This window comes from Homo sapiens, chromosome 19 (assembly GCF_000001405.40).
Source record: "Homo sapiens chromosome 19, GRCh38.p14 Primary Assembly".
NCBI lineage: Eukaryota > Metazoa > Chordata > Mammalia > Primates > Hominidae > Homo > Homo sapiens.
In genome coordinates, this window is record NC_000019.10 from 7088016 (window position 1) to 7106495 (window position 18480).

At 48.1% G+C, this 18480-nt stretch overlaps 1 long non-coding RNA gene across 1 annotated transcript, besides 3 other annotated features; it reads right to left on the reverse strand.

The window, feature by feature from the left end:
• Nucleotides 1-27: 27 nt before the first annotated feature.
• LOC124904625 (uncharacterized) lies at nucleotides 28-11547 on the reverse strand. The gene is made up of 3 exons (XR_007067110.1): nucleotides 11467-11547; nucleotides 4280-4436; nucleotides 28-1436 (listed from the first exon to the last, which is right to left on the reverse strand). It is a non-coding gene; the product is annotated as an uncharacterized LOC124904625 (long non-coding RNA).
• Nucleotides 11254-11623: a silencer, noted in NCBI's record as "silent region_9971". NCBI's record gives its function as "represses an Ori minimal core promoter by ATAC-STARR-seq in GM12878 lymphoblastoid cells {active_cell/tissue: GM12878}" and the evidence as "EXISTENCE:reporter gene assay evidence [ECO:0000049][PMID:35858748]".
• Nucleotides 14483-14984: an enhancer, noted in NCBI's record as "H3K4me1 hESC enhancer chr19:7102509-7103010 (GRCh37/hg19 assembly coordinates)". NCBI's record gives its function as "activates a minimal SCP1, AML or CMV promoter by ChIP-STARR-seq in primed H9 embryonic stem cells {active_cell/tissue: H9 hESC(primed)}" and the evidence as "EXISTENCE:reporter gene assay evidence [ECO:0000049][PMID:30033119]".
• Nucleotides 14985-15484: an enhancer, noted in NCBI's record as "H3K4me1 hESC enhancer chr19:7103011-7103510 (GRCh37/hg19 assembly coordinates)". NCBI's record gives its function as "activates a minimal SCP1, AML or CMV promoter by ChIP-STARR-seq in primed H9 embryonic stem cells {active_cell/tissue: H9 hESC(primed)}" and the evidence as "EXISTENCE:reporter gene assay evidence [ECO:0000049][PMID:30033119]".

Genomic DNA, 18480 nt, shown 5'->3' on the forward strand with positions numbered 1-18480 from the left:
ATGTAACTAGGTGCGTAGAGGTTTAGATATTCTCCTGTGAATTTATTTATTTTCAGTAGGGGCCATACCTTTTCATACCAAATAATTGTAATATGAAAATATATTAACAAAAAGAGATCAAACATTTCGCTAGCCCATCCTATAGACCAGGCGCTCTTCAAAGTGCCTTATAAATATTAACTGCGTCCTCACTATAAGCTTGCAAACTGTGCTATTACTGTCTCCAACTTACAGATGGGAAAACTGGCATGGAAATGTCTAGGTTGCTTGCCTGAGTTCACCAGCTAGTAAGTGGTAGAGCACAGATTGGAATCCAGACAGGTGATTCTCATAACCACTAGCCTGTTCATTGAGTACATTCCATGTGGCTAAGCACTGTTTGAGATGCCATGTCTAGAGCAGTGAATGAAACTCAAGTTTTGCCATTGAGGCACTTACATCCTAACGGGGAGGGGTGAATTATAGAAAAATCAACAACATGGCCGGGCGCTGTGACTCACGCCTGTAATTCCAATACTTTGGGAGGCTGGGGCAGATCATGAGGTCAGGAGTTTGAGACCGGCCTGACCAACATGGTGAAACGCCATCTCTACTAAAAATACAAAAAAATTAGCTGGGTGTGGTGGTGCGCTCAGCTAATCAGGAGGCTGAGGCAGGAGAATCGCTTCATCCTGGGAGGTGGAGGTTGCAATGAGCCGAGATCGCGCCACTGCACTCCAGCCTGGGCAACAGAGCAAGACTCCATCGAAAAAGAAAAATCAACAATATTCATGTTGTGCAGAAAAATAAAGCATTGTGAGAGAGTTACGGAGGGCTGGGGACTTTCCATTTTATGTAGCATAGGAAGGAAAAGGCCCCCAGTTAAGGTGCATTTGAGGAGAGACTATTGAGTAGGAACTTGTGGCAAGAGGACTGTTGGCATGCAAAGACCCACAGCACAGAGGCCAGTATGACTCAGGTAAAATAGGGATTCAGGGATTAGAGGGTAATCGGAGATGCAGATCCTGATCTTGTGGGGTTTTATAGGTCATTGTTAGGGCTTTTCCTTACATGTTCAGGAAGTTGGAATATCAAGAGTCCCAGCAGGAAACAGTTGACACACACGTCAACTGGGATGATTCAAGCGCAGTTTATATCAAGGGGCTCCTCACAGAATTGTGAACAGGATGTAGGGAAACCACAAAAGGTACTTGAAATGGAACATCGGTCTTCTCCCCACCTCAGATACGGGTGCTTCTGGTTCTCCAGCCTTCAGACTCAGACTCGCAACTTACACCATTGGCCCTCCTGGTTCTCAAGCCTTTGGACTTCACACTGGGGTTTACACTGTTGGCTCCCCTGTTTTCAGGTCTTTGAGCTTGGACTGGAGCAAGACTACCAGCTTTCTTGGTTCTCCAGCTTCCAAACAAATGGCAGATCGTAGGACACCCATAAGCCTGAAGGGACAAAGGAAGAGAACTGCAAGTTGTTGTTCAAGCGAGGAGAGGGCTGCATTCCAGGAGCTGACAGGAGGTCAGTGAGGGGCAACATCCAGCCTCGAGTTCTGCAAGAAATAGTAAGGGTCGGCCAGGCACAGTGGCTCACACCTATAATTCTGGCACTTTGGGAGGCCGAGGTGGGTGGATCACTTGAGATCAGGAGTTCAAGACCAGCCTGGCCAACATGATGAAACCCATTCTCTACTGAAAATACAAAAACTAGCCGGGTGTGGTGGCATGCGCCTGTAGTCCCAGCTATTCAGGAGGCTGAGGCAGGAGAATTGCTTGAACCCGGTAGGTGGAGGTTGCAATGAGCCAAGATCATGCCATTGCACTCCAGCCTGGGTGACAGAGTGAAACTCCATCCCCACCCCCCCACCACCACCAAAAAAGAGAAAGAAATAGCCAGGGCCAGCCCTCCTTGTCCTTCATTCTTCTTATATCATATTTGGGTTCCCCATTTGCCAAACTCAACCAAAAGCCAATAAGGTAAGGGAGTTCGTTGATAGCATTCATAGTAACTAATCATCCCAAGTACAGCAGGGTAGAGGAGGTGAATCTGCTGGGGCGAATGGAAGATACCCAGTATTGGTCACTCCTTTTGCTTCTCAGAATCTACTCATGCCCATCACCTGGATGGAAAGTTCATATCCAAGCCCAGGAATTCTATCAGTTGCTCAGCTACCCTGGGGTGGTGTCCATGCACTGATACTCCCCGATGAAGCCTAACATAGTTGCCAACACCAGTGTTTCCTGTATAGGATGAGGAACAGAGCCATTGGGGAGGAAAGCAAAAGAAATAATTAACCTGGCCAGGCGCAGTGGCTTACCCCTGTAATCCCAGCACTTTGGGAGGCCGAGGTCGGTGGATCACGAGGTCAGGAGTTTGAGACCAGCCTGGCCAACATGGTGAAACCCCGTCTCTACTAAAAATACAAAATTAGCCAGGCACAGTGGTGGGCGCCTGTAATCCCAGCTACTCAGGAGGCTGAGGCAGGAGAATCTCTTGAACCCGGGAGGCGGAGATTGCAGTGAGCCGAGATCATGCCACTGCACTCTAGCCTGGGTGACAGAGTAAGACTTCATCTAAAAAAAAAGAAAAAAGAGAAGTAACCTAAAGGACTTGGTTCCCAGAGGGAAACACTTCCACCAAGAGACACAGTAAGAGTCTCATCGGATGTTAAACTGTGACTTCTATGAGACCAGCACACAAGGAAAGAAGTCACCATACTGACTTAGGTAATTAATGCTATCATCCATAGAATCTGAGGCTGCTGTTACATGATGAGTGCAGGGAGGAAAACATTTGGCATTCACGGAATCCATTGGGATGTCTCTTACTATTCTTTCCCCAATTTTAAAGATAAAAAAATTTTGGCCAGGCGTGGTGGGTCACGCTTGTAATCCCAGCACTTTGGGAGGCCGAGGTGGGCACATCACAAGGTCAGGAGATCGAGACCAGCCTGGCTAACATGGTGAAACCCTGTCTCTACAAAAAATACAAAAAAATTAACTGGGCGCGTTGGCAGGCGCCTGTAGTCCCAGCTACTTGGGAGGCTGACGCAGGAGAATGGCGTGAACCCAGGAGGCGGAGCTTGCAGTGAGCCGAGATCGCGCCACTGCACTCCAGCCTGGGCAACAGAGCGAGACTCTGTCTCCAAAAAAGAAAAAGATAAAAAAATTTCACCAGCTATGTCCTGAGAAGGGCATGGTGAAGACCCCGTAGGCATAAGGATCTGGAGCAGCTCTCCAGGTAAGCCACCTAGACCAGCAGGATCTAGGTGAGAAGGAAATCTAGAATTTTCACCCTAGTCAAGGGTAAAGGGAATCTGGAAGGTGCAAGTAAAGGAGTGTGATAAGCATCAATTGCATCTCTGAGACTTGTTCAGGTGGAAAGGGCTGTCTACAGTTTGTCCCACTGATCTTCCTCTTGTCAGTTTCTCCAGGCAACGGGACCAACCTGGATCCTGAGGGCACTTACTTTAAGAATCCTGGGGCCGGGCACAGTGGCTCACGCCTGTAATCCCAACACTTTGGGAGGCAGAGGCGGGCAGATCACTTGAGGTTAGGAGTTCGAGACCAGCTTAGCCAACATGGTGAAACCTCATTTCTACTAAAAATACAAAAAATAGCTGAGTATGGTGGCACATGCCTATAGTCCCAGCTACTCCAGAGGCTGAGGCAGGAGAATCACTTGAACTCAGGAGGCAGAGGTTGCAGTGAGCCAAGATGGTACCACTGCACTCCAGCCTGGGCAACAGAGGGAGACTCTGTCTCAAAAACAAAACAAACAAAATGAATGCAGGGCATCTGAGTGGCACACATGGTGGACCACAGTAGGTACAGTGGTGGCACTACCCAGCAAAAGAGCTCTTCACCCAATGTGCTAGAAGCCAATACTATGACATCAGATTTTTGAGAAAAGGAAAGGTTTGTATTGCAAGTTAACAAGGAGACAGGAGTCCAGCTCAAATTTGTCTTATGCTGACTTTAAGGCAATAATTTTCTTAGAAAAGGTGTAGGGCGTGGATTCTGGGATTAGCAGGCGATTGGTGGGAGGAAAGGTCTGTTAAGTCCTCAGGCAGGTGCAATGATCTCTTCATGCCTCCCCATGGGTTCCATGTGCAAAGTCATACTAACTCAAGGGAGTTTGTATGAAACACGTGGAAATTTGCACTGTGACATCAGCAAGCTCATTCTGCACAAACTCCATTTGGCCATGTGGGTTCTCACAGATTTTAGGCAGTTTTGTTACAAGTGGAGGCAGTTTCAGCGTTTTAGCAAGTTATTTCTTTTTTTACCTGCCATCCTGCAAACTCAATGAGAGGTGAAGCCAGCTGGACTTCCTGGGTCGAGTGGGGACTTGGAGAACTTTCCTGTTTTACAAGAGGATTGTAAAACACACCAATCAGCACTCTGTAGCTAGGATTGTAAACCGCACCAGTGAGCGCTCTGTAGCTAGCAAGAAGATTGTAAAATGCACCAATCAACAGTCTGTAAAACACACCAATCAGCAAGATCCTGAAAGCAGCCAATTGCAGGGAGGATTGAAAAAAGGGCACTCTGATAGGACAGAAACAGAACATGGGAGGGGTCAATAAGGGAATAAACGCTGGCCACTCCAGCCAGCAGCGGCAACCAGCTCGGGTCCCCTTCCAAGCTGTGGAAGCTTTGTTCTTTTGCTCTTCACAGTAATCCTTGCTACCGCTCACTCTTTGGGTCTGTGCCATCTTTAAGAGTGAAGGTCTGTGGCTTCTTTCTTGAAGTCAGCGAGACCACGAACCCACCAGAAGGAACCAGCTTCCAACACATCAAGAATTTCTGCTAGTCTTTGCTTTAACACTTTAGGCATGGTTTCAGTGGCATATTTCCCAGATTCTTCCTTTAAGACTAAGGCACTAAGGCCAGGCGTGGTGACTCACGCCTGTAATCCCAACACTTTGGGAGGCTGAGGCAGGTGGATCACGAGGTCAAGAGATCAAGACCATCCTGGCCAACATGGTGCAACCCCGTCTCTACTAAAACTACAAAAATTAGCTGGGCGTACCTGTAATCCCAGCACTTTGGGAGGCCAAGGCCGGCGGATCACGAGGTCAGGAGATAGAGACCATCCTGGCTAACACGGTGAAACCCCATCTCTACTAAAAATACAAAAAATTAGCCAGGCATGGTGGCGGGCACCTGTAGTCCCAGCTACTCGAGAGGCTGAGGCAGGAGAGTGGCGTGAACCTGGAAGGCGGAGCTTGCAGTGAGCCGAGATGGCGCCACTGCACTCCAGCCTGGGCGACAAAGACTCCATCTCAAAAAAAAAAAAAAAAATTAGCTGGGCGTGGTGGCGTGTGCCTGTAGTCCCAGCTACTCAGGAGGCTGAGGCTGGAGAATCGCTTGAACCTGGGAGGCGGAGGTTGCAGTGAGCCAAGATCTTGCCACTGCACGCCAGCCTGGTGACAAAGCAAGACTCCATCTAGAAAAAAGAAAAGACTAAGGCACTCCCCTAGCTGCTGGAGGTGTTGCCTGATGATGGTGATGCTGCTGTCCTCTCTGGGAACTCCCCAAGGCCCAGAGGAAAGTGCCCAACCCAAGATTATGCTCTCTCTCCAGGGGTTGCCTACTTCCAGTGACTGGTTGATGTAGGGGGTACAAAGGTCCAGTGCCTTTGTTTCAATGTAGGACACCCCTGAAGGGCAACCCCAGCACCAGAACTCCCTGTGGGATCGACGGCAGCCTCAGTTGACAAGTTACATGTCAGCCTCATCTGTCCCCTCCGCTTCTCGCATGCCTTTAAAGATGTTGTTCCCAGGAGTTTTATCCAATAAACAAAAAATTGCCAGCACAAAATCTGTTCCCAGAAAACCTGATCCGAGATAAGATCACTCTATCAGGGTAAAGAATCCATTCAGGGCCGGTCTCAGGAGATCGAGACCATCCTGGCTAACACAGTGAAACCCTGTCTGTACTAAAAATACAAAAAATTAGCCGGGCGTGGTGGCGGGCGCCTGTAGTCCCAGCTACTCAGGAGGCTGAGGCAGGAGAATGGCGTGAACCCGGGAGGCAGAGCTTTCAGTGAGCCGAGATCGCGCCGCTGCACTCCAGCCTGGGCGACAGAGTGAGACTCCATCCCAAAAAAAAATAAAAATAAAAATCCATTCAGATAAGGGACTGGCAGAGAGAAAGCAGAATGTGGAATGGATGTGGAAGAATTAAATTCAGTCCTGAAGACCAGGTCCCAAAGCAGGAATAGAAGACAGCTATGCTTTGGGTTTGGGTTTTTTAAAAAATCTTTAATTTTTTCCGCTTTTTCCCTGGTTCCCCACCACCACCATCACCATTTTATATGAAGAGTCCTGGTTGTGGCCAAAGCTTAAGGTTTCTGATGGGAATACGACCAAATGACATTATCCCAACAGTAGCTTCCTTTGTATCTCTTTTTTTTTTTTTTTTTTTTTGAGATGGAGTCTCACTCTGTCACACAGGCTGGAGTGCAATGGTGCCATCTCTGCTCACTACAACCTCCGCCTCCTGGATTCAAGCGACTCTCCTGCTTCAGCCTCCCGAGTAGCTGGGACTACAGGCACACGCCAGCACACCCGGCTAATTTTTGTATTTTTAGTAGAGATGGGGTTTCACTATGTTGGCCAGGCTGGTCTTGAATTCTTGACCTTGTGATCCGCCCACCTCGGCCTCCCAAAGTGCTAGGATTACAGGCGGGAGCCACCGCGCCCGGCCCCCTTTGTATCTTATGTAGGGACATGAACTTAGCGCCAAGTGAAGGACAAGAATTGATATCCAAAATCCAATAGATTTTTCTTTTAAATACCTGAAAGTGAAACTGGCCCAATTTTCCCATATTGCTGATGTTTATGGTTTCCTTGAATAAACAAACAAATTGATCTTCCCAATCTTAAAACTTAAGAAAGTTACATTTATCTTATCTGAGTTCCTTTCTCAGGAAACCAACCATCAGGCCTCCCAGATAGTATCTAGGAGCTGAAACGCACCAGAATACTGCATTTGTACAGTGAGACATCAGACCCATCACCCATCATGATTGCCTAACTGACCACCTGCTTCCTGTTGACCAACTCCTCTTCCTTACCCTTCCCTAATTCCTGTATTCCCACACATGGTAACATTTCTTCCCTGCTATATAAACCTCAAATTTTAGTTGGTCAGGGAGATGGATTTGAGATTGTTCTCCCACCTCCTCAGCTGCAGCAGCTGATTAAAGCCTTCTTCCTTGGCAATACTCATTGTCTCAGCGATAGGCTTTCTGTGCAGTGGTGAGCAGCAGGACCTAGATTGAACCCCTGGTGTTTCAGCAACAACATAGTTCATCACCAGCAGAACTGCACTTCAAGAAACACTAAAGAAAGTTTTGGGCCAGACACGGTGGCTCACACCTGTAATCCCAGCATTTTGGGAGGCTGAGGCAGGTGGATCACCTGAGGTCAGGAGTTCGAGACAAGGCTGGCCAACATGGCAAAACCCCATCTCTGCTAAAACTACAAAAAAAAAAAAAAATTAGCTGGGCGTAGTGGCGGTCGCCTATAATCCCAGCTACTTGGGAGGCTGAGGCAGGAGAATTGCTTGAACCCAGGAGGTGGAGGTTGCAGTGAGCTGAGATCGCACCGTTGCTTTCCAGCCTGGGCGATGGAGCGAGACTCTGTCTCAAAAAAAAAAAAGAAGGAAGGAGGGAGGGAGGGAAGGAAGGAAGGAAGGAAGGAGAAGGAAAGAAAGAAGGAAAGTTTTGGGGCTGGAGGAAAATTATTCCATGTGGAAGCAATTCCAGAAATATATAAGGATAATCAGGAAAGATAAAATGTGAGCAAATACAAATAAATATTGACTGTATAAATCAAGCCTGTATAGTTTTAACACTTTTATACGTCTAAATCTTTTTTTTTTTTTCAGACGGAGTCTCACTCTGTTGCCCACACTCACCTCACTGCAACTTCCGCCTCCTGGGTTCAAGCAATTCTCTTGCCTCAGCCTCCAAGTAGCTGCAACTACAGGTGTGCACCACCACGCCCAGCTAATTTTTGTATTTTTAGTAGAGATGGGGTTTCGCCATGGTGACCAGGCTGGTCTCAAACTCCTGACCTCAAGTGATCCATCTGCCTTGGCCTCCCAAAAGTGTTAGGATTATAGGCGTGAGCCAACGTGCCCAGCCCTAATTTTTTTTTTTTTTCAAATAAAAAGAGTTTTAAATCACATTGAACTGGTCCCTTAAAACTAGAGATAATAGAAAGCATGGCAAGCCATTTCCCAGTCCCCCTAAGACTAGAGATTATGGAAGCCCCAGCAAGTGATTCTCACAATCTGCATACAGCAGTAGAGCTGACAGAAGCCCTAGCAGGTAACCACCAGTCACCCTCAAAACAAGAGGCAACAGGATGCCAGATCTCCACCCCTCAATCACTTACAAACACAAAAGATGGAGTCCAAACATGAAGACCTCCGTCATCGCGAAACTACTCCAGCAAGCACCCCTCAGTCACGTCCAAAACTATAACAGAAGTCCCTGAAATGACCCCTTCAGATGCCCCTCAACACTAAAGAATGGGGACTCCAAGCCCAATGGCCTACCCAGTCTATACCAACAGTACAGGCAAGCGGAGACCCAGAATATGACCCTCCCCAACTAGAGATAAGTGGAACCCCATCCAATAATCCCTCCATCCTCTCCCCAAACAATACACAGTAAGGCCTCTATCTGATAAATGCTCTTGACCCTTCAACACTAGAAAAAAATGGAAGCCCCAGGCACTGGCCCTCCAGTTACCTCCAACATCAGAGACAATGAAAGCTTCGCCAAGTGATTCCCCGTATCGCTCCTACATTAATGATGGAAACTCCAAAAACCAATCAACCCTCAATCCTCTACACACTCAAGAAAGGAACTCCAGGCTGGGTATGGTGGCTCACGCCTGTAATCCCAGCACTTTGGGAGGCCAAGGCGGGTGGATCACGAGATCAGGAGTTCGAGACCAGCCTGACCAATATGGTGAAACCGTCTCTACTAAAAATACAAAAATTAGCCGGGCGTGGTGACACGTGCCTGTAGTCCTAGCTACTCAGGAGACTGAGGCAGGAGAATCTCTTGAACCCGGGAGGCAGAGTTTGCAGTGAGCCAAGATCACACCACTGCGCTCAAGCCTGGGAGACAGAGCAAGATTCTGTCTCAAAAAAAAAAAAAAAAAAAAAAAGAACTCCAGCAAATGCCACCATTCTTACCCACTACCGCTGCAACATGCATCCCTTGTCTTCCCAAGACTATAAATAAGTATCCCCAGCAATGACACCCAAAACAAGCAATGGTCAGAATCTCAACAGGCAGCCCCCCAGATTCTACAACATAAGTGACAAACTCATACCCCAGAAAACTATCTCTCTTCCCATTATCCCAAAGTAAGAGTTAATAGAAGCATCAGCAAGCAACACCCTTAACATAAACGAGGAGGGGAGCCCAGAATGCAAATCCCGTCTCCCCCAACATGAGTTGACTGCCCCTGCGGTGACCCCTCCTTTATCCCAAACACAAGGAATAATCTTAGCCCCAGCAGGCAACTCCTGCAGCCTCCCCTTGCAATATGAGTATCTCTACCCTCACAATATAGATTGATAGAGCCCTATCAAGCCAAGTGTCCCCTGCTAGGGGAATGTTGGGTACTCCAGTCTCAGAACATGGAAGACGATGGTAGTCCTGACAAGCTGGCAAATACTCTAAGCTCCCATAATACAGGAGGTGATACAGCCCAGCAAGCAAACCTTCCAACATTTCCTGCACCCAGCAGACCCTTATCAGCTGCATTCCCAGTTGACTCTCAGAGCATCTCCTGCTCGCTCACTAGAAGCAAAGAAAGACTAGAGTTGGGGGTAAGGCTGAGAGGAAGAGAGAGGGGAGAAGGGTAAAAGAAAGAGAAGAGGGGGAAAGGAGACCTTCCAAGTTGTTCTAAACCCGGCCATGAATTCCAGATGCCTCAAACAGCTACAATCAGATCAGGCACTCCAGCACAAAAAAAGAGATTCCGGGCTGATGAAAAGAGGTGGTCTGAAGGAAAGGTGGGTGTGTTGACTAGCCTTCAGAATGCTCACCAAAGACCCTTGCCACCTGATATTCCTGTCCTGTGTACCCCACCTCCAATATTGAATCATACACGACCCATATGATCAATACAGCACTGTTGCATGTGACATCTGAGGCTAGGTCATAAGACACACTGAAGCTTCCTCCTTGGTCTCTTCTATTGCTCTTTCTCTAGGAGAAGCCATCCGCCATGCCATGAGGAGACTCAAGCAGCCCCGTAACCAGTAACCAACTCACCAGCACCACATTGCTAGCCAGGGGATGAGCCACCTTAGATCTTCCAGCCCCAAATTTTGAACTCTAATTAATGATATGTAAGCTATCTGCAACCTACTTCAAAATGCATTTAAAAAGATGAATTGATGGATGATACAGAGATGTATATGACAAAGTATAGTAAAATGTTACTGATGAATGTTCCTGTACATTTTTTCAAAAATTATTTCCATGCTTGAACATTGCTCATAATAATTTGTTAGTATTCAAGAACTCCTACGAAGCAGTAAGAGAAAGACCAAGAGTTAATTAGAGAAAGGAGCAAATGCTAACAACAGTTCACAGAAATACAAGTGGCTCTCCTAAGAAAAATGGGAAGTAATACATTGAGATTCCCTTTTTCATTGATCAGGAATTTTTTTCTTTTAAAAAGATAACAGATTGACCAGGATGTGGAGACACTGGCACCTCCATATCATAATGACGGGAACTCAATTAGTGCAACTCCCCCGGACTAAGACAAGGACCCAACCAGACCCAGAGCCACGCCGAGCCCAGGGTGCCATGGGGAGACGCGGAAAGAGCCGAACTGAAGCGGCGAAATCGGAGAAAACTGAAGCCGGGCGGAGAAAGCCGAACTGAACGAACTGAGCCGAGGAGCGGCGGAGAAGCCAAGGCTGGGCGAGGGGAGCCAAAGACGGGTGGTGGGAGCCGAGGTCGGCCGAGAGGAACCGGAAAAGCCAAGGCCAATGGGAGGAGCCGAGGCCAGGCGGGAGGAGCCGAGCAGGGCCGAAAAGCAGCGGGAAGGGCGGCGGAGAAGCCGAGCCATGGCCAGGACGGAGGGAGGGGAAGTTTCAGGTCGGAGACAGAGAGGGACAGGCAGCGCCATGGTAGGACGCCAGGCGAGGACGGATGGGGAAGCCGAAGCTGGGCGGAAAGAGCCGAAGCCAGGCGCGAAGGAAGCCGAAGCTGGGCGGGGGAAGCCGAGGCTCGGCGGAAGAGCCGAGGCCGGGCGGGAGGATCCGAGCTGGACCGAAAAGCGGTGGCACTGGCGCCAAGCGCGGGAGGTCGCGGGGCAGAGAGGGCGAAGGGAGGGTAGCACCTGGGGTGAGGGCGGGCGGGAGAGTCGAGCTGGGCAGAAAGAGCGGAAGCCGAGAGCAAGTGCGGGGTTGAGGGCGGGCGAACCGAGGCAGGGCCCTGGAAGCCGAGGTCCAGCGGGTGGCGGAGAGGGTAACCGAGGCTGCGTGGGAGGAGCCGAGGTCGGGTGGGAGAAGTCGAAGCCCCGGTCGAAGGAGCTGATGCCAAGTGGGAGGAGCCAGTGCCGGGTGGGAGGAGCTAAGCGGGCGAAAAGCGCTGAGGTTGAGCCGGGACCCATCTTCTTGGGAGCAGGGGAAGGGAGGTCAGGGGACTGCAGTGGGGAAGGGGCCGTGGATGGTTGAGCCCGAAGCTGTCAACATGGCCAGAGTCATCTGCAGGGCCTCAAACTGCCTCTGCAAAAATTAATAACAGTGAGAAAATTATGACAGTGAAAGACACCTGACCCACTCCATCTCGCCTTTAACCTCCAAACTCTCCTCGGTCATTCCTAGGTGTGGGCCAAGCTAACCTTGGGAGAAATTTAGTTACAGTTTAAATAACAATAGCCTTTCCTAAAACTAAACCGCCTTATAAAAATAAGAGATCACCAAGTTATGATTAGAGCAGGGCCTGAATTCTGCTCAGATGTAGACTTCGTTAAGGATTACCAGCCCTTGCTCAGGTGATCACAAGATTTGTAACCCTTCCAATTACTCCTGTAAATAACATCACTATTGTAGAAGCTAAGATTGGCCTTTTGAGATGTCATTTAAGACTTTTGGGCCAGGCACAGTGGTTCATGCCTGTAATCCCACCACTTTGGGAGGCCGAGGCGGGTGGATCACCTGAGGTCAGGAGTTTGAGACTAGCCTGGCCAACATGGTGAAACCCCATCTCTACTAAAAATACAAAATTAGCCAGGCATGGTGATGCATGCCTGTAATCCCAGCTACTCAGGAGGCTGAGGCACGAGAATCGCTTAAACCTGGGAGGCGGAGGTTGCAGTGAGCCAAGACTGCGCCACTGCACTTCAGCCTGGGCAACAGAGCAAGAGACTGTTGGGGACCAGCCTCAACACCACCCGTAGGGTACTCTAAGTCCGGTGGCGTCAAAGGATTGAGAAGAGACAAGTTAAAGGTGGGGAGCCAGGGGGGCCAGATGCGAGGTAGGAGGCGGCAAAAGGCTCAGAGCTCTGGTCTCCACACTATTGAGTACAATCACTTAGATCTGAGAAGCAGATGTTCAGGGCAAAACAGTGAAAGGGAGGCAGTGCGTCATACGCGTAATCTATAGCAATAGTGGTTTAAATGATTCTCCGTTGTGCTCAAACAACATATCTTTAACTTATCGGAGAGTAGCTAGTGGGAGCAGGCTTTACTAGGAGCCTGCACGTCTGTCCACATTCCAGTGTTTCAAAGGAGTGTCTTTCTCCTTGAACACAGTGTTTACAGATAAGAGAGCAGGTCTCGCTCTGAGCATGTGAACATGATGGCAATTAGGAGGCTTTCCTCCTCAGAAGCCTTTTGTGGCTTTCCACAACTTATTGTCCCATATTTTTATGGCCAGTTTATACAGGCACCCCACAAGCCCTTTTCCCAACAGAGACTCTGTCTAAATAAATAAATAAATAAATAAATAAATAAATAAATAAATAAAGACTTTTGCATTTCTGACGACCGGATGATTCCTGTGGCCCCCACCCAGAAACAAACTCAGCACACAAGGACTGTTTATTTCCACGCATCCTGGACCAATTAACAGCACCTGTTCCCTGCCTCCCTGCCCACGAAACTATCTTTAAAAAACCCTAGCCTCCAAATTTTCAGGTTCCCCATTTAGCCGGCCGTGCATTTTGTTTGTTTGTTTGTATTTTCTGAGACGGAGTCTCGCTCTGTCGCCCAGGCTGGAGTGCAGTGGTGCAATCTCGGCTCACTGCCAGCTCCGCCTCCCGGCTTCATGACATTCTCCTGCCTCAGCCTCCCGAGTAGCTGGGATTACAGGCGCCCACCACCAAGCCCGGCTAATTTTTTGTATTTTTAGTAGAGACAGGGTTTCGCCGTGTTAGCCAGGATGGTCTCGATCTCCTGACCTCATGATCCGCCCGCCTCGGCCTCCCAAAGTTCTGGGATTACAGGCGTGAGCCACTGTGCCCGGCCAATGTGCATGTTTTGAATTCTTTCTCTATTCCAATTCTCCTGCCTTGATAAATCAGCTCTATATTGATGAGTAAGATGAACTTCTCCGGTGGTTTCAGGTCCTCCTGCCCTCCCGGTCCTGTTGCTCCGGCCCTGCCACCGTCCCCTGCGAGGGCTGCTCCATCGGCAACAGCTGCATGTTCTCTGCCCCCAGTGAATGCTCATTGGTGATATTTGCATAGGGACACCCCATCGGCCTGACAGACAGTTTCTCTGAACTGCGCTGAGACCTGGCCCCTCACCTGTTTATCCTCACATTGGAATTCTGTTTTGGTGTTTGCTTTTTGGAGGACTTGCATGATAACACTGTTTTACGAATGAGGAAACTGAAACACGAAGGCACAGAGGGGTTAAGTAACTTACCTAAGGTTACGCAGCTGGTAAGGGATTTAAATGGGATAGTCTCACTGCAGAATCAGTACCCTTAACCATCGCGCTATGAGCGAAAGAGACAATGAGAGAACCAAATCAAGATAAAAAAGAACATCCTTATCTTGATTTTGTGGTCTCCCTGAACTTTTTTTTTTTTTAATTTGAGACAGAGTTTCTCTCTTGTTGTCTAGGCTGGAGTGCAGTGGCGCCATCTCAGCTCACTGCAACCTCCACCTCCTGGATTCAAGCGATTCTCCTGCCTCAGCCTTCCAAGTAGCTGGGGTTACAGGCAAGCGCCACCATGCCTGGCTAATTTTTGTATTTTTTAGTAGAGACAGGGTTTCAACATGTTGGCCAGGATGGTCTCGAACTCGTGACCTCAGGTGATCCACCTGCCTCACCCTCCCAAAGTGCTGGGATTATAGGCATGAGCCACCGTGCCTAGCCTCCCTGGCCTCTTTCAATGAGGAGTTTCTAATACTTTCATCCGTTTTTCCCACGGCTGACACATCTAGAGTGCCGTTCTTTTTTTATTTCAAAATATGCCCTGAAGATGGCAGTATTGCACCACCCTAAATCCACAAGCTCTTTTCCAAATGTTTGCCCTGATGTCCATCTTCTGAAAACAATAATCACCAATTAGACATGTGAGCCAATTAGCATTAACTCCTTCCATGAAGAACAATGCAATTGTCTCCTAGAGAGCAACTATACAATTTATTCACTTTGTTTTTTGTTTGTTTTGAGATGGAGTCGTGGTCTGTCGCCCAGGCTGGAGTGCAGTGGCGTGATCTCAGCTCACTGCAGTCTCCACCTCCCCGGTTCAAACAACTCTCCTGCCTCAGGCCCCCTTAGTAGCTGGGATTACAGGCATGTGCCACCACGCCCAGCTCTTTTTTTTTTTTTTTTTTTTGTATTTTTAGTAGAGATGGAGTTTCTCCATGTTGGTCAGGCTGATCTCAAACTCCCGACCTCAGGTGATCCGCCCACCTCGGCCTCCCAAAGTGTTGGGATTACAGGCATGAGCCACCGCGCCCGGCCACAAATTTTTGTATTTTTAGTAGAGATGGGGTTTCACCATGTTGGCCAGGAGGGTCTCAAACCCCTGACCTCAGGTGATCCACACGCCTCGGCCTCCCAAAGTGCTGGGATTACAGGCGTGAGCCACCGAGCGTGGCCGTAACCAGGCTCAATGACTTTAACTCTTTTCCTCAATGATTTTCATTCCTCAATGGCTTTAACCTCTTCCAAATGATTGCGCTGATGGCTAACATATGTCTGTCTTCTGAAAACAATAATCACCAATTAAACATGTGAGCCAATTAGCATTTACTCCTTCCATTAAGAACAATACATTGGTCTCCTAGAATGCAATTTACAATTACTCACTTTGAACAAGGGAAATCTCTTCAACTCCACAGACAAGGGAGCCACTCCCTTTCTGATCACAGATTACAGTGAGCAATGGAAGTTTCATAATCGATGGCCTTCACTTTCTTCTCTGGAATGTAAAGTTGACTCAGCTGGGAAGAAGCCCATAAGAAAAAAAGATCAATATGAGACAAGGAGACTTGTCTGCAGTATGGCAGGCTAATTATCTTGAAAAACAGTCCTACTACACAACATTTAAAAAGATGAATACACACCTGTAATCCCAGCACTTTGGGAGGCCAAGGTGGGCTGATCACTTGAGGTCAGCAGTTTGAGACCAGCCTGGCCAACATGGCAAAACCCTGTCTCTGCTAAAAATTAAACAAAATTAGCCGGGCTTGGTGGCACATGCCAGTAGTCCCAGCTACTCGGGAGGCTGAGGCAGGAGAATCGCTTGAACCCAGGAGGCAGAGATTGCAATGAGCCGAGATCGTGCCACTGCACTCCAACCTGGGCAACAAGGGCGAGACTCCATCTCAAAAACAAAAAAAGAATACAAGGCCGGGTGCGGTGGCTCATGCCTGTAATCCCAGCACTTTGGGAGGCCAAGGCGGGCAGATCACCTGAGGTCGGGAGTTCGAGACCAGCCTGCCCATCATGGAGAAACCTTGTCTCTATTGAAAATAAAAAATTAGCCGGGCATGGTGGCACATGCCTGTAATCCCACCTACTTGGGAGGCTGAGGCAGGAGAATCACTTGAACCCAGGAGGCGGAGGTTTCAGTGAGCTGAGATTGCTCCATTGCACTCCAGCCTGGGCAACAAGAGCGAAACTCTATCTCAAAAGCAAACAAACAAAAATACTCCCCAGAAAAACCCTATTTCCAAATAAGGCCACATTCTGAGGTCCTGGGGACTAAGAGTTCAATATATTGGGGTTGCACAGTTGAATTCATCTCATTGTTTAGGCACGGGGACCAACCTGTCATACCCCATCAACCATCAAATGCGGCTGCTCTCTGGGAAGGGGGAATAACCTTGGACAAAATAGCTCCCTTAAGCCTGGGAAAGTTCCAGAAGAGGGACTCAGTTGTCCGCCCCCAGAAGACAACTTTCCTGGAAGTTGGAAGAGTGAGCACTTGGTTCTGAAGAGGTGATCTGGGTGGTGCATGACAGCATCCACGACAGTGGATGTGCCGTGGCTCTTGCTGCATCCACTACAGCATCCACTACAGCATCCGCTACCTCCACCTCAATATCCACTACCTCCACTACAGCATCCACTACCTCCACTACAGCATCTGCTACCTCCACTACAGCATCATGGATCCACCACAGCAATCACCACATCCACTACAGCATCCACTACAGAATCCACTACAGTGACTCCAACACAGTGGCCTCCCACTCCTGGGGTTATGCTTCAGGAAATGGGTCAGCAACCTCTAAGGAGCCTGGAGATCAACAGTTGAGAACATTAGACCATGGACTCATAGTCTAAACCACCCACCAACTATGTCAGCCCTATTAAAATTATGGCTTCCCTCTTTTGTGAAGTACTTTGAAGATGTTTTCTCTCACTTGTGTACTATCCTGATGACCACTGTCTCATCTGTGGTCATGCAGAACACACATGGAGCAGAGCCAAGGCCAGAATTTGCATTTCCTGGCTCCCAAGTCTGACTGTCTCAGCAACCCACATCCCCATTCTAACCCAGAGCCCAGCCAGAGTTCCTCCTCTGGTTGTGAGGCTGTGGTCTATGAAACCAAAGCCTGTGCCTTGCTTTCTCAGCCTGTCAGGGTCTTACCACTGGATAGGAGCCTTGGATGAAAGGACAGGCAGACAGATAAATTGATGGACAGACAAGAAGAGGGATAGATGATGGATGGATGGATGAATGGATGGATGGATGGATAGGTGGATGGATAAATGGATGGATGGGTGGATGAATGGACAGGTAGGTGGATAGATGATGAATGGATAGACAAGATGGATATACAGACAAATGGGTGGGTGGATGGATAGAAAGGAAGGAAAGAAGGACAGATAGATGGATGGGTGGATGAAGAGAAGGCAATAGACAAACATATAGGAAATTACAAATACAGATAGATAAAAAAAAAAAAGGCCCCAAGAGAAGTAGAGGTAGAAACAGAATGGTAGAAAAGGGGGAGGAGGTCAGAGATATGAGTGGGAGGAGGAAGGTGAAATGAGAGAGAAAGAAAAGCAAAGCCCAAATTATAGTGTGACAGGAAGATTGGGTAGCAGAAATACACAAGCAAAAAAAGAGAAACAAGTGAGACCAAAACTGGAGAAATAACTCAGAGAGAGTGACCAAGAAGGAGAGAAACTAAGGAACACACACAAGGGAAGCAAAGGGAGAGAAGAAAAATAAGACAAGAGTGGGAGGAGGAGAGGGGGAAATAGAGAAAAAAATGGGAAGACAGAAAAGTCCTACATAGAAGGAAAGACAGAGGGAAAGATGGGGTAAGGAGATACAGAAGTAATGTATAAAAGAAATAAAGTAGGTCAGGCGCACCTGTGGTCAGGAGTTCGAGACCAGCCTGGCCAACATGGTGAAACTCCGTCTCTACTAAAAATATAAACAATTAGCTGGGCATAGTGGCAGGTGCCTGTAATCCCAGCTACTCAGAAGGCCGAGGCAGGAGAATCACTTGAACCCTGGAGGGGGAGGTTGCAGTAAGCTGAGATTGTGCCATTGCACTCCAGCCTGAGCAACAAGAGTGAAACTCTGTCTCAAAAAAAAAAAAAAAAAAAAGAAAGAAAGAAAAAGAAAGAAAGAAAGAAAGTGAGGGAACCATGGTGGGTGCAAGAGGGGAGTAGATGGTGAGGATGGAGAGAGAAGGGAAAAAAAGAGGAGAAGCACAAATGAAGAGAGGCAGAAACATGGCTGACCACAAAGGGAAGCACACAGAAGGAGAAAGATTAAGAGAATAGGAGAAAAGAGCAGAAGGCAGATACAGAAAAAGATGGAGGAGAGGATGAAGCAGACTTGAAATAAATAAAACAGAGATAAAAGAGTGGCAAGAAGTAGAAAGTAGGACAGAAACAAGGAGGGAGCAGGGTGATGAAGAAACAATCAAGCAAACAAAAAAAAATCAAAACACAAGGAGAAACAGTGAGATAAATACAGAGAGAGGAAGGGAATTAAGGGGAGAAGTGA